Below are 14,833 nucleotides of genomic sequence, written 5' to 3'. Positions count from 1 at the left end.
GGGGTCCTGGACCCGCTCGAGGATGACTCTGAGAGGACAAGTACTAAGCAGATGGCAGATGGCAGCCTTCGGTGTAGACGGCTTCAAGCAGCTGGCAGCATCCCCAGGGCCCGGGGCCAGCCTTTGTGTCCTGCAGTCAGACCAGGCGCATGACCAAGCTGGTCACCTAAAACTTATCTCACTTCAGGGAGACTGAACCCCAAGATCCCCGTGCTCTGCTTGAGGGTATTAAATTGGCAGACGAAACGGCCAGCCAGCCATGCTGACCAGTGACAGGACAGCCCTTCCCAGGCAAGTTTGATCTTGTTCCCACACTCCCAAGATCCTCTTCCCATAATCCCAATAACCCATGAAAATGTCCCGGAAATTCTGACATCTAGCCTCTATTTCCCGGGCTCCCTTGCCCACCCAGAAGGGGCACATCTTTTTGTTTCCCGTTGATGTGTGAATTTTGTCAGGATGAATAATGAATGAATGAATGACGCTGGAGCCTGCCCTTTCCTCCCCACCTCTGCCTCTGACGTGGTCTTCCCCAAAGTCCCCTCAGCTCTTACCTCCATTGAAGAGCTGCATAGGTGCAGCCGGCACTGTGGCTGCAGCTCTGCCAGGGGTTGTCCAGGGGCTGGGCCTCCCCGCCAAGCCAGCCTCGGGTGTCTTCATGGGGGCAGGAGCCTCCCAGGGGCGGCCACGCCGGGCCTCACAAACTGCCTGCCTCACTTCCTCCGCCACGGCCACATCGCGGCGCGGGGGTGCCAGGGTGATAAAGACAGACGATGCCACCCTCTTCTCAGGCTTTGAGGCCATGGCTTCAGCTCCTGGTGTGGCTAGGGACAGAGTGGGGTACAGCACAGGATTGCCACCCAGACACACAGCCACCCTCCCCCGAGAGGAGAGAGCCTCCCTCCTCCCAAAAAGACAGGCCAGCCACCCTACCATCTCAACAACTCAGTCCAGCACCCAGCCCAGCCAGAGAAGGGGTGGGGGTGTCCTGCTGGGGAAGACAGGACCCACCAGGGAACTTGGCCACAGGGGTGAGACCCAAAAGTCCTGACTGCCCCTCCCCCGAACCTGCACACCTAGGGGAGCAAAGGGCAGCCCTCACCAATGATCACTCTTCCTTGTCTCACACCCGCGAGGAAGGAACAGATGCTTCAGCTCCCAGCCCCAGCAGGGCTGACTTCCGTTCCCAGTCTGGAGTCCCGCCTGCCTGCTGGGCCACACCCCAAGTGACCTCCCTCACCTGGGATCAGATTCTCCTAGAAGGGCTGAAGTCCTGGAGGTTCAGGCCAGCTCTGCTTTGGGAGGGAAAGAGAACAGATCAGGATCTGCCAGGGCGTCAGGGCTAGGCTCCGGCGGCAGAGTGGGCAGGGCACAGTGAGAGCTGCCCTCACCAAGACCGGCTCTGCCCTGAGCATGTTATACTCATTAACTCATAAACACTCACACGTTATGCTCATTAACTCATAAACACTCACAAGGTGGCTGCAGGGCAGGCACTATCATCACCCACCTAACACATCAAGAAATCGAGACTCAGAGAGAAGTCACCTGTCCAGGGTCACACGGTGGTGAGGTGGCACTGGAACCCAGAGCCCATGCTCTTGGCCACTTTGCTCTGCTCTGACCTTTCTCAGCCCTGCACATGAGCCAGCACCCTCCTTGCTTGCTTTCTAGTGCCAGACTCTCTCACTCCACCCAATCTCCAAAACCTGGGTCCTGGTTCAGGCCTGGGCAGTGGGCAGGGGGCAAGGGGAGAGATGGGGAGGCTCCATGGCCTCTGGTCTCACCTCCTAACCCTGATCTTTCTAGAGCATCAATCTCTTTCTCCTTTACTCAAAAACCTTCCATGGGCCGGGCATGGTGGCTCACAGCTGTAATCCCAGCATTTTGGGAGGCCGAGGCAGGTGGATCACTTGAGGCCAGGAGTTTGAGACCACCCTGCCAACATGGTGAAACCCCATCTCTACTAAAAATACAAAAATTAGCCATGCGTGGTGGTGGGCACCTGTAATCCCAGCTACTTGGGAGGGTGAGGCAGGAGAATCGCTTGAACCTGGGAGGCCGAGGTTGTGGTGAGCCAAGATTGCACCACTGCCCTCCAGTCTGGGCAACAGAGCGAGACTCTGTCTTTTTTTATTTATTTTTATTTTTTGAGACGGAATCTTGCTCTGTTGCCCAGGCCGGAGTGCAGTGGCACGATCTTGGCTCACTGCAAGCTCCACTTCCCAGGTTCACGCCATTCTCCTGCCTCAGCCTCCCGAGTAGCTGGGACTACAGGTGCCCGCCACCACGCCCGGCTAATTTTGTTTTTGTATTTTTAGTAGTGATGGGGTTTCACCATGTTAACCAGGATGGTCTTGATCTCCTGACCTCGTGATCCGCCCACCTCAGCCTCCCAAAGTGCTGGGATTACAGGCGTGAGCCATCGCACCCCGGTGAGACTCTGTCCCAGCACTTTGGGAGGCAGAGGCAGGTGGATCACCTGAGGTCTGGAGTTCGAGACCAGCCTGGCCAACATGGTAAAACCCCATCTCTACTAAAAATACAAAAATTAGCTGGGTGTGCTGGCGGGCGCCTGTAATCCCAGCTACTTGGGAGGCTGAGGCAGGAGAATCACTTGAACCCGTGGGAGTGGAGGTTGCAGTGAGGTGAGATGGCACCATTGCACTCTAGCCTGGGCAACAAGAGCGAAACTCTGTCTAAAAAAAAAAAAAGAAAAAAAGTATGGCTCTCCACCACCTCAGGATGAAGTCCAACTGCGGCAGCCTCAGCCTCTTTGAGCCCCTGGACCACTCGCCCTTCCTATGTCCTCTCTCTTGCCTTGCAGTGTTTCTTCTATGGTTTTCCTGTCCTGCCCCCACAGGGTGAATTTCAGCTTTCTCTTAGAGGCCCAGCTCAAACATCACCTCTTCCACAAGGCACCCCCCGATTCCTGGCCCTCTCCAGGGGCAGTTTCCTGCTGCCAAGGGTGGACGAAAGCGATGATAGCCCCAGGGCAGGACAGGCTGGCTCACAAGCTCACTATCAATGCGTCTGACCGGTGTCTGCATTCTTTGTGTGCCTAGAGGATATCAGAGCGCAGGCATCAAAACCCAGATCTGGCCACCCGATGGCTCACGCCTGTAATCACAGCACTTTGGGAGGTAGGCGATCACTTGAGGTCAGGAGTTCAAGACCATCCTGGCCAACATGGTGAAACACTGTCTCTACTAAAAATACAAAAATTTGGCCTGGCGTGGAGGCTTATGCCTGTAATCTTAGCATTTTTGGAGGGCAAGGTGGTTGGATCACGAGGTAAGGAGTTCAAGACCAGCCTGGCCAAGATGGTGAAACCCTGTCTCTACTAAAAATACAAAAATTAGCTGGGCATGGTGGCAGACGCCTGTTATCTCAGCTACTCGGGAGGCTGAGACAGAGAATTGCTTGAACCCGGGAGGCGGAGGTTGCAGTAAGCCGAGATTGCACCACCACACTCCAGCCTGGGCAACAGAGCAAGAGTCTGTCTCAAAAAAAAAAAAAAAAAAAAACAAATTAGCCAGAAATGGTGGCATGCACCTGTAGTCCCCAGCTACTTAGGAGGCTGAGGCAGGAGAATCGCTTGAATCCTGGGAGGCGAGGTTGCAGTGAGCTGAGATTGTGCCACTGCACTCCAGCCGAGGTGACAGAGTGAAACTCTGTCTCGAAAAAAAAAAAAAGAAAAGCATAAATCAGAGAGCATGGTGGCACCCTGATACCCTGATGTCAGGAAAAGGACATTATTTCCCATCTCTCAGGTAGTTCCTGCTGACAGTAGTCCCTGTGGCCAAGGCTGAGGTGGGGCCATGGGTGGGAAAGCTGGGAGTCCAGTGAGCACATCAGTCCTCAGCAGGCACCCAATGCCTGTGCCCAGGGCTAAAAATGTCCCCTTTTCTATCTCGCTCTTCAGGCTTCCCTCCTTATCTCAAAGTGCACTGGCCACTTTGGGTTCACAGCGACTGATGGATGATAATAAAAACAATAACACGTGCTCCTAAATTCCCTTAAGTTGTTTGGCTAAAATACATAGCTCAGTCTGACAATAAAATATCTATTCTGAGGAAGAAACCAATATATTAGGAAAGAGCTTCAAAACTTATTTTAAAGTACTTGTCTTTTGCTTCTGGGTTTGGAAATGATGTCTGGAAGTACGTATGCTTAGGCTGGCTGTCACGGGCTTTAGTTTTACACTTTGTTATAAGTTTAAGAATCTATTTTTGTCAACAATGTTCAGAGTACATGTGAGATTTAAAGAAATACCAAACGACTTGCTGATAAGGCACTTGTTTCGTGCCAGGCCCTGTGCCAGGTACTATATGTGCCTCAAAACCCACCAGCCTCTCAATCTAGCTGCAAGAAATGCCCATCCTGCCCCCACTTTGCAGATGGACCCTGTGAGGTTCCAAGAGGTTAAGTGACTTTCCCAGGCCATCCATGGCACTCGGAATTCTAATGGAACATCATCCAAAAGTGTGTCCCCAGACACGCTTTTCCTTCCTTGGGTGGCACAAAGTCGCCCAAGTTCCCAGGCCTGTTCTCACTCTACAATGGCCCAATCCAGACCAGAAATCTTGTGGTCGGCATGTTCCGGGCTGGTCCCCAGGGGCTGCTGTGGGGCTTCGGGATGGCCCTCTGCCTCCTCCCACCCAGCCCTGACCCTTCCTACACTCCTCCGGGAAGTCGGATCTGCCTGGCTTCTCGGAAAATGTCCAGCACTGAGGCCAGATGTTCACAGCTGGGCAGCCCCTATACCTCCCAAGCAGTGACTGCAGGGACCTCAGGCCCCAGGGGGTCTAAGCTGGGGAGTTTCAAAGCCCTGTCAATCCCATCGGGAGAGGGAGCCCCGGCTTCCCTCCCGTCCCACTGCCACCGATTCAGCTGGGAGCAGGCTGTGTGTAAGTTCCCTGGGGCCATCTCCCAGTCAGCTGTGCCCAGGGGACCCTCCGCCCCCACTCTTCCTCCCCCAGAGAGCGAATCACAGATCCAGTTAGATAAGTGGAGAAAAGTGGGAACAAAGGGAAGGAAAGTCATTTCCTGTCCAAAGGAAGGAAGGAGGCAGGGATCCAGCCAGCCACCCAGACCAGCTAGAGGCTGCAGCCTTGGGGCAGAGAATGTGCAGCTCAGGGGGGGTCACCCCCACAGTCCTCCTTCCTACTCCTTGTTCCCTACAAAGAAAAAAAAAAACAAAAAAACCTCTGGGGCCACCTCTAAGCTCTGTTCTTTTTTTTTTTTTTTTTTTTTCTGAGACAGAATCTTGCTCTGTGGCCGAGGCTGGAGTGCAGTGGCGCAATCTCAGCTCACTGAAACCTCCACCTCCCAGGTTCAAGCGATTGTCCTGCCTCAGCCTCCTGAGTAGCTGGGACCACAGGCACACGCCACCACCCCTGGCTAATTTTTGTATTTTTGGTAGAGACAGGGTTTCACCATGTTGACCAGGCTGGTCTCAAACTCCTGACCTCAAGTGATCCGCCCTCCTCGGCCTCCCAGAGTGCTGGGATTACAGGCTTGAGCCACTACACCCGGCTTAAGCTTTGTTATTTATTTATTTATTTTGAGACAGAGTCTCATTCTGTGGCCCAGGCTGCGCAGTGGTGCGATCTCGGCTCACTGCAACCTCCGCCTCCTGGGTTCAAGCGATTCTCGTGCCTCAGCCGCCGAATAGCTGGGATTACAGGCGCGCGCCACCACACCCGGCTAATTTTTGTATTTTTAGTAGAGACGGGGTTTCACCACGTTGGCCAGGCTGGTCTCCAACTCCTGACTTCAGGTAATCCGCCCGCCTCGGCCTCCCAAAGTGCTGGGATTACAGGCGTGAGCCACCGCTCCCGGCCAGCTTTGTTCTTTAATGACCGGATAAAGCAGTCTACCTTTGGGTACGGAATTAAATTTAGGCAGAAGTGGCGGGGTGTGCCCCAACCCCTCCCACCCTGCAACTTAGGGGAGGGGTTCCCTCAACCTCTTTCCCACCCCAGGGAAACAGAGGAGGTAGAGAGCTGGGTTCACACGCGGCCCCACTTCTTTCCTGCGGGGTGACCCCGAATAGGTCACAGAAACTCTCTGGCCTCGTTTTTTCATAAAGTGAGAATGAGTGTGTCCCTAGGGCGGCTGAGAGGATATATAAGGAAAGAAGACTCAGGGTCTAGGCCCTTGGAAGGTGCAAAGAGAAGGACAGCTGGTTAGGCAGCAGCTGAGAGGGAGAAGCAGCCCGGGGGCTGGGCTCGGCTGGGGGTGCCTCCAGGACCCGGACAGAACCTACAGCGTCATTAAGAGCAGGAATCTGGGCGCGGCCCCAGCCTCTCCCCGGGGTCCTCAGGCTTGGGTGGGAGGTGAGGGGTAGGGGCCGACGCCAAGATCATCCCAGGGCACACACCTGGGTATCGCCCATCTCCACACCTTCTCAGCCCCCGACGGGCGCGTGAGGCCCAGAGAGGAGCAGCCCCGGGACCCGTCCCTCCCCTTGCCTGACCCTGGCTAGGAAAAGGGGCCTGGAGCGCCCCCGGGCTCCGGAAACGCGGGACCCTCCGCAGGCAGCCGAGCAGGGCGGCCGCCGGGGTCACCGCTGGGCGCCGCCGGAGCTTTAATTCGATCCATGTGCGGGACTCCGGCCTTTTGTGCGGGAGCTTCCGCCCTGCGCGCCGGGTCCCCGGCTCCCGCTCCCGGGCTGGGACTCGGCCCTCCGCCGGCCTCACTGAGCCCTCGCCCCGGACCTGCCGACTCCCCGACTCCGGGGAGAGAGACCAAGAGACTGGGACGCAAAGGGCGTGAGGACCGCACCCCCCACCCGCAGGCCCCTCCAGGGGCGCCGCGCCGGGGGTCCCGGCTGGCGACCGAGCAGGCTCCGGCCGAGCACTGCCGGCGCTGTCACCTGTGTGCACCGGGGACAGGGACGGAGGGACGCGACCCCCACCCACCCGGCCCGCTTACCTGGGCCGCCCGCGCCCCGGCGGCTCCGATCCGACGCCCGAGCCAGCGGAGCCCGGAGCCGCTGGGCCTCCCGTCCCCTCCGCCCGTCCGCCCTCCCCGCCCCCTCGGCTCCCTCCGCCCCGCCGCCCCGCGCCGCTTTACCATAAAAGGTGAGGCTCGGGGGGAGGGGGCGCGGGATTCCCGCCCCGCGGAAGCGGCCCCTACCTGCCCCCCAACCTGCCCGGCCGCGCCCCGCGCCGCCCCTTCCCCCTCCCTTTGTTCCCTGGACGACGCCTCCCCTCCCCCTTGGCACAGGCCAGGGGGTGGGAATGGGGGGGAATGGGGATGGGGGCGATGGGGGAATGGGAGGGATGGGGAGTGGGGGTAGGAGAATGGGGAGTCGGGGTGGGTTTCCTTCCCTCCCCGCTGCCCATCCCCTCGCGTTCTTCATGGACCCCGAGTGGTCCCTGCCGTCCCCCTTCCCTCGCTCTCCTGGGTTGGCAACCCCACCTACCCTGTCCGGCGGAGGTGAGCGCTTACTTTGGCTCTGGGATCCGCCAGGGTCTTGCGTCAAACCGACCAGGGTTCTGCGGCCGTTTACTAAGCGTGAGACCCGGAGCAGTCACGCCACCTCCTGAGCCTCAGTGTCTTCATCTGTAAAGTGGAGGTAGCCACTGCCTACCTCTCCAGGTTGGCCTGAGGATAAAAGGTGACAGTTACAGCCAGGACTGTGATTAATAGTGGTTAATATATGCTGGGTTGGGGGCTTTTTCCGGGAGTGTTCCTGAGGGTGGGGGTCTCGGAGACCCCCAGTGGAGCAGGTCACCTTGTTCTGCTCTCCTGAGCGGTAAGCCCTCTGCAGGTGGGTCCCGGTGTCCCGGGGGACAGGCCGCTCCAGGAGCTCTGGAAGGCAGGGCCCGGCTGGCCCTGTGGCTGAACCCCTCCCTCCACATCCAGTGACCCTCCCCCTCCCAGCTGGAGCAATTAGGACGGGAGCGGGAGGGGAGGCAGAGCCTGGACTCTGGGGCCCGGGATGGGGCCGGGATGGACTGCCTGGGTCCCTGGAGGCCTCAGGGACATTGTGGGGAAAGGAATCTGGGTCTGATTCAGAGGCAGACAGATTGTTCTTTTGATTAAAGCCACAGTGGCTGAGGCTTGAGGAGCGCTGGACCCAGCGCCATCTGCGGGGTGGCCAGACAGGATCTGGCCCGTCCTGCAACCCCTCAGCTACAGTCACCCCTCCAGGGTGGCTCTGGGGCTGTTTCTGAGGGAGGCTGGTTTATGAGGGTCAGAGGAGGCTGCCTCCGCCCTCACCCACTGATCATCGCCCCTCCCATCCCTCTTGTCGCCCCTTTTCCCATTTGATCCTCTCAGCCAAGCTGCAGTAACAGCAGCAGTCCCAGGAGCTGCCATTGATAGGGGCTTTCTAGGTGCTGGTACCCATCCTCATCCCCATCCTAATCCCACAAGAGCCATGAGCACCAGGGCTGATGATTCCTGTTCACGGTCAAGGACACTGAGGCCCCGAGAGGCTCAAGGCCACACTAGGGGCAAATGGCAGAGCCAAATTCAAACCAGAGCCGCTGTGTCCCTGGGCACACAGCTCTGCTAGTCTCAAGAACAGGTACCAGTGCCATCCTTTACAGAATCGGAAGCTGGGGCTTGGAGGTGCTGAGAGTTCTGTGCAGCAGGGCGAGGCTGGGACTCAAGGCTGTCTGAGTCCCTGCTCGGCTCATTCCTGGCTTGGCAGTGATATCCTGCCCCTGCCCCCCAAAACTCCAGCTTTGCAGCACCCTTTGGAGGAGACTTCCCCATACCCTCTGAACGACAGAGACGGGAAGGACTCAAAGGAGGAAGGTGCGATCTGGGGGTTTTCAGGCGCTTTTGGCTGTAGAACCCCTTTGCAAATGCTTAGTGACCCAGAAGTTTATTTAAGAGATAAAAGTGGAGCTGCCTGCCCTCACCTCCATGACAGCCCCTGAACCACCTGTTGCACCCCCAGGTGGGATAGTGAGGCAACGAAGAGTTGATTTGGGGCCTTGTTCAAGGTCACACTGACTTAGTCTAGGACCCAGGCTTCCCACATTTGCTCTGGGACAGTCCAAGGGGAATGAGGGGTTCAACTGCCTCTGCTTACCTGCCTCCAGCACCCCAGGCCACCTGTTCCACCGCCACCACTGCTCCCGGATGGAGGGATTCGTCCTGGCCCGCAGCAGCTCGGGTGTCGATGTCACCGATCGGCAGGTGCCAAACTTCCTGCAACGGAAACCCAGGAAGTGCGCTGGATGAGAACACACGCCCTTTGTCTGCCAGCTCAGAGGCTCTGCTGCCCTCCGCCCTCCCTGCCAGGCTCACAACGGCTTTCTTCTCCCTTAGATGGCTCCAGCAGGCAAGGGGCTCAATCTTCTATTAGGATGGTGGCAGCTGAGACCCTGAGTGGCAGGGAAGGGGTGGAAGAGAGGTTTGAGGGCAAGTCTGCTTGCCGGGGCGGGGGTGGCACCTCCACAGTGGAGAGCTTTGACTGAGCAGACACTGACCGGGCACCTACTGTGTGCAATGCATGAGTCAAGGAGCCGACGGGATCAAATCAGACATGATCAGTCCTTGTCCCCACAGTCCTTACAGGGAGATTGGGTAGAGCAAACCATAAAGCAAATTAACATAACAATAACCAATAGTAAAAGGTGCTATGAAGGAATGGACAAGGGGTCTGAGACAAAAGGGGGTGGGGTGGGTGTGGGGTGTGGGGTGTGGGGGGAAATCCTCTCTGAGGAGGTGAGGGTTAAGCTGAGATGGGGAGGAGCCAGTGTGAGAATAGGGACGAATATTCCCAGGGAAAGGGGGCAGAAGGGAAAACATGGGCTTTAAAGGTCAGAGGTCAGCTTGGCAGACAGCCTCAGAAGCCCCTTGGGCCTCCCAGCTCCTTCCTCCATCCTCCATCTTCCACCCTACCTGCTTGGAGTCAGGTCAGTCCAATGCTTATTTCCTGGGCGCTGCTGTGTGTGGGGCCCTGTGCTAGGCAGGGCGGGGAGAGGAGCAGCATAGAGAAAAGGGAGCTCCCCCATGGTGGCCGGGTCAGATGGGGACACAGATACAGCTGTGAGTAACATCAGTATCTGGGAGTGATTCCAGCTCTGCCACTTGCCAGCCTTGGGCAAATCACTTCTCTCTGGGCCTCAGTTTCCTCTTGCAACCGAGGGGTTGCCAACCCAGGTTTGTCCCTTGTGGCTTCATAGCAAGAATCTGGTGGGGTAAATGTGGGTAAAAATACCTGATGCTCAGTAGGTGTTCAGAGATGAGTTCCTTTGCTCTCCCTACCACATGAAGGATAGAAGTTTTAGTAAGAGGGACAAAGTTCTGAAGGGAAGGGAAGGACGTGACTTTGTCCTGCAAGAGAATCCAAGGAACATCCATGGCTCCTGATAGCCAGCACTACTTTCCCTGATTCTGATAACAGCACTCAGTTTCTGTTTGGGGAACCTCTCTTCCACTCTCAGTGCCTGGTGTATACATGACCCATGTCCAGCCAATCATAGTGGCTGTTAGTTCTAAGATCAGCTCTCTGGGCTTGTTGGCTGGCAGAATACAAGCTTGACACCACTTTTGCCCCCCACTTGGACCACCACAGAGGACAGCAGAGCAAAGAGATAGGAAAGAAAGATAACTGATTTCATCAGCTGCTGGATCCAGCCATACCTGCAATCCTACTACCAGACCTCCAGAGTCAATGCATTTTTTTCCCTTACTTTTTATTTTTTATTCTTTTGAGACAGTCTTGCTCTGTCGCCCAGACTGGAGTACAACTATGGGCTCCCTTACTTTTTCTTTTTTCTTTTCTTTCTTTCTTTCTTTTTTTTTTTTTTTTTTTTTTTTGTTTTTTGAGACAGAGTTTTGCTCTGTCACCCAGGCTGGAGTACAGTGGCACGATCTCGGCTCACTGCAACCTCTGCCTCCCAGGTTCACGCCATTCTCCTGCCTCAGCCTCCCCAGCAGCTGGGACTACAGGCGCACGCCACCATGCCCGGCTAATTTTTTGTATTTTTTTTTTAGTAGAGACGGGGTTTCACTGTGTTAGCCAGGATGGTCTTGATCTCCTGACCTCGTGATCTGCCTGCCTTGGCCTCCCAAAGTGCTGGGATTACAGGCATGAGCCACCGTGCCCGGTCCTTACTTTTTCTTAAACCAGTTAAAATTGTATTTCTGCAGTTATTTGTTGCGCTTTTTTTCCTTGTTCTAAATAAATAGTCAGTCATGAGGCTGGGTGCAGTGGCTCACACCTATAATCACAGCACTTTGGGAGGCCGAGGCGGGCGGATCATTTGAGTTCAGGAATTTGAGACCAGCCTGGCCAACATGGCAAAACCCTGTCTCTACTAAAAATACAAAAATTAGCCGGGCGTGGTGGCAGGTGCCTGTAATCCCGGGTACTCAGCAGGCTAAGGCAGGAGAATTGCTTGAACCTGGGAGGCAGAGGTTGCAGTGAGCTGAGATCGCACCACTGCACTCCAGCCTGGGTGACAAGAGCAAAACTCTGTCTCAAAAAAAAAAAAAAAATAGCTCTGCGTGGTGGCGGGCGCCTGTAATCCCAGCTACTCGGGAGGCTGAGGCAAGAGAATTGCTTGAACCCTGGAGGCAGAGGTTGCAGTGAGCCAAGATCGTGCCACTACACTCCAGCCTAGACAACAGAGCAAGACTCCGCCAAAAAAGAAAAAAGGAAAAAAAGCCAAGTGGGAATCGACCAGGCCACAGCTAGAGCCACATGGTGTCCACTCTCAGGCTCCAATCCTGTGTCCCACTGCCTCACCCAGGCAAAGCCCAGCTTCCCAAGACCTGGCTGTGACAATATTGTCTCCGCGTTAATCCCGCTCTGGTTTAGGGGCCTGAACTGGCTCTGACCAGGCGTGCTGGTTCCCACGGCCAGACCGTCCACTCAGCGAATCAGCACAGGCTCCAGGGTGAGGGGGTGAGAAGTGTGGGAGAGGCCAAGGAGGGGCCTGAGGCTCAGCAGACTGAGGGGGCCCCTCCTCGCCCTAGGCCTTGCTAGTCAGGGCCCTTCTGCCCCTTATTTGGGAGGGTCCTTGAGCTAGCCCCAAACCCTCACTGATCCCAGCCCCCTCCTTGAGCCCCCATCCCACTGGGACCCTCTACTCCCAGCAGCATCTATCCCAGCATCTGCCCTTGCTGATCTATCTCCGCACCCTCAAGCCCTGAGCCTCCTCCTTACTAAAGCACAATGTGGCCTGGAACCTGCCATTGCCCCTGTGGGTCTCGCCCTCTTCTCTCTTAGCCAGAGGTGGGCTTATTGTGAAGTTAATAAAACTTATGCTCATGGCCTCACTTCCATGGCCCCTGTGAAGGCTGGGAGTTGCTGGGAGTTACAGAGTGTTCTAGACAAGGAGAGAAGCTGGTTTCACTCAGGAAGCATGTCCATGAAGAACGCCTAGCAAACTGTCCAGGGAGACATCAGAAGAAGGACCCAAATCTCCAAGTCTCCAGTCATTTGTTGTGCTTTTTCTCTTTGTTCTAAATAGTCACTTTTGGCCAGGAACAGTGGCTCAGGCCTGTAATCCCAGCACTTTGGGAAGCTGAGGCAGGCAGATCACCTGACGTCAGGAGTTCGAGACCAGCCTGGCCAACATGGTGAAACCCCGTCTCTTCTAAAAATACAAAAATTATCCGGTCTTGGTGGTGTGTGCCTGTAATCCCAGGTACTCAGTAGGCTGAGGCAGGAGAATCGCTTGAACTCAGGAGGCGGAGGTTTCAGTGAGCTGAGATCATGCCATTGCACTCCAGCCTGGGCAACACAGTGAGACTCTGTTCTCCCCCCCACCCAAAAAAATAGTCACTTTCATACGAATTCTGTATTATTTTTTCTAAAGGGAGTCCTAAAAATTGGATCTGCCTTGCTCTTTTTATTTTATTTTTTATTATTTTATTTTTTGAGACAGAGTGTTGCTCTGTTGCCCAGGCTGGAGTGCAGTGGCGCCATCTCGGCTCACTGCAAGCTCTGCCTCCCGGGTTCACGCCATTCTCCTGCCTCAGCCTCCTGAGTAGCTGAGACTACAGGTGCCCATCACCATGCCCAGCTAATTTTTTGTATTTTTTTTTTTTTTGAGACATAGTCTTGCTCTGTCGCCCAGGCTGGAGTGCAGTGGCATGATTTCGGTTCACTGCAAGCTCCACCTCCCGGGTTCATGCCATTCTCCTGCCTCAGCCTCCTGAGTAGCTGGGACTACAGGCGCCCACCACCACGCCCAGCTAATTTTTTGTATTTTTAGTAGAGACGGGGTTTCACCGTGTTAGGCAGGATGGTCTCAAACTCCTGACCTCGTGATCCACCTGCCTCGGCCTCCCAAAGTGTAATTTTTTAAATTATTTGTAGAGATGAGGTCTCACTATGTTGCCCAGACTGGCCTCGAACTCCTGGGCTCACGAAATCCTCCTGTCTCAGCCTCCCAAAGTGTTGGGATTACAGGCGTGAGCCACTACACCTGGCCCATATGCCTCACTCTTATTCTTTACAATCCCCTCTTCTCACAGTAGCCAGAACACCTCACTAAAGCAGCATCTAACGCCCTTCTGTGCACAGCCCTCTGTGGCTCCCCGCTGCTCTCTGGGACAATGCCAAGCCCCTCACCCTGGCCCTGTGTGATCCTGCCCCAACCCACCCCCGAGACAGCATCTCCCACCACTGCACCCCTCACCCCTCTGCTGCAGCGGCGCTGACCCTGCCTCAGTCCCTCAGTCCACTCCAGAGCCTTGAAACCCACCTGGGCTTCAATACCACCCCCTTGGCCTGGGAACGCCTGTCTTCTCACCTGGGTTATTCCAAATGCTTCCAAACTATTCTGAAAACAGCCACGAGAGGACTCCTCTCAAGGTGTACGTCAGCTTCCGTCATGTCCTTGTGCAAAACCCTCCGCTGGCTCCCCTCAGGGCAACGCAGTCCATAGCCTCGCCCGGGGCTCCAGGCCCAGCCGCTCCACCCTCTCTACCACCTTCCTTTTTTTTTTTTTTTTTTCTGAGACAGAGTCTGGCTCTGTCACCCAGGCTGGAGTGCAGTGGTGTGATCTGGGCTCACTGCAACCTCCGCCTCCTGTATTCAAGCAATTCTCTGCCTCAGCCTCCTGGGTTCAAGCAATTCTCTGCCTCAGCCTCCTGGGTTCAAGCAATTCACTGCCTCAGCCTCCAGAGTAGCTGGGATTACGGGCACTCGCCACCACGCCTGGCTCATTTTTGTATCTTTAGTAGAGACGGGGTTTCACCATCTTGGCCAGGCTGGTCTTGAATTCCTGACCTCGTGATCCACCCACCTTATCCTCCCAAAGTGCTGGGATTACAGGCGTGTGCCACTGTGCCCTGCTCTACCACCTTCCTAAATGCCCTGGCCTGTTCCTGCCGCAAGGCCCTTGTTGAGCCGTCTTCTTGGCCTGGGAAGTTCTTCCCTCCGCTGTTTGCTTGGTTGCCCCCTCACTCTGTTCAGGTGTCTGCTCCAATGCCCCCTCCTCGCAGGAGCCCTCCGTGGACGGCAGCTTCTGAGATGCCCCCAGGATCCCCACCTCCTGGCCTCCATGCCCTCCCCTCGGGTGGGTGGGACCTGGGGACCTCTCCTCAATGATAGATTGTGGCCAAAACAATAGGATGTCACTTTCAGCACTGAGTCACAAAGCGTGGGCTTGCTTGTCCTCCACCCCTCTCCCTGGTGGGCTCTGAGGAAAGCCAACGGCCGCATTGTAGGGGTGCCTTGCAGGAGCCCGACGTGGCAAGGAAGAAGGGAGGCCCTGGGCCTTACGACGACACCACAGCCTCGCTGACCCTTGGCAGTAGCCCTGAGACACAGGACCCGGCTCAGCAGCACCCAGATCCCTGACCCACAGAAAGAGCAAGACGATCAGTGTCTGTTGTTTTAAACTCT

The 14,833-nt window shown here is 56.0% G+C and overlaps 1 protein-coding gene across 43 annotated transcripts in view, besides 4 other annotated features; it reads right to left on the bottom strand.

The window, feature by feature from the left end:
* Positions 1-9,150, bottom strand: part of FBLIM1 (filamin binding LIM protein 1) — a 29,952-nt gene extending 20,802 nt beyond the window's left edge. For 6 of the 43 annotated variants that reach the window (NM_017556.4, XM_047423150.1, NM_001024216.3 and 3 more), the window contains exons 1-3: positions 6,940-6,993; positions 1,103-1,292; positions 555-824 (exon numbers count right to left, since the gene is read on the bottom strand). In NM_017556.4, the coding sequence (NP_060026.2) occupies positions 555-804 (250 nt within the window). In that variant the 5' untranslated portion in view covers positions 805-824; positions 1,103-1,292; positions 6,940-6,993. Of the gene's footprint in view, positions 1-554; positions 825-1,102; positions 1,296-6,939; positions 6,994-7,432; positions 7,615-7,744; positions 7,842-9,055 lie in introns of those variants that run through there. The other 37 variants (NM_001350151.2, XM_047423148.1, XM_047423159.1 and 34 more) reach the window with 17 other exon arrangements.
* Positions 4,240-5,184: an enhancer, noted in NCBI's record as "H3K27ac-H3K4me1 hESC enhancer chr1:16087099-16088043 (GRCh37/hg19 assembly coordinates)". NCBI's record gives its function as "activates a minimal SCP1, AML or CMV promoter by ChIP-STARR-seq in primed H9 embryonic stem cells {active_cell/tissue: H9 hESC(primed)}" and the evidence as "EXISTENCE:reporter gene assay evidence [ECO:0000049][PMID:30033119]".
* Positions 8,861-9,640: an enhancer, noted in NCBI's record as "H3K4me1 hESC enhancer chr1:16082643-16083422 (GRCh37/hg19 assembly coordinates)". NCBI's record gives its function as "activates a minimal SCP1, AML or CMV promoter by ChIP-STARR-seq in naive and primed H9 embryonic stem cells {active_cell/tissue: H9 hESC(naive and primed)}" and the evidence as "EXISTENCE:reporter gene assay evidence [ECO:0000049][PMID:30033119]".
* Positions 11,383-11,882: an enhancer, noted in NCBI's record as "H3K27ac hESC enhancer chr1:16080401-16080900 (GRCh37/hg19 assembly coordinates)". NCBI's record gives its function as "activates a minimal SCP1, AML or CMV promoter by ChIP-STARR-seq in naive H9 embryonic stem cells {active_cell/tissue: H9 hESC(naive)}" and the evidence as "EXISTENCE:reporter gene assay evidence [ECO:0000049][PMID:30033119]".
* Positions 11,883-12,384: an enhancer, noted in NCBI's record as "H3K27ac hESC enhancer chr1:16079899-16080400 (GRCh37/hg19 assembly coordinates)". NCBI's record gives its function as "activates a minimal SCP1, AML or CMV promoter by ChIP-STARR-seq in naive H9 embryonic stem cells {active_cell/tissue: H9 hESC(naive)}" and the evidence as "EXISTENCE:reporter gene assay evidence [ECO:0000049][PMID:30033119]".

Source organism: Homo sapiens, chromosome 1, assembly GCF_000001405.40.
Source record: "Homo sapiens chromosome 1, GRCh38.p14 Primary Assembly".
NCBI lineage: Eukaryota > Metazoa > Chordata > Mammalia > Primates > Hominidae > Homo > Homo sapiens.
This window is presented reverse-complemented; position numbering and strand designations above follow the sequence as displayed.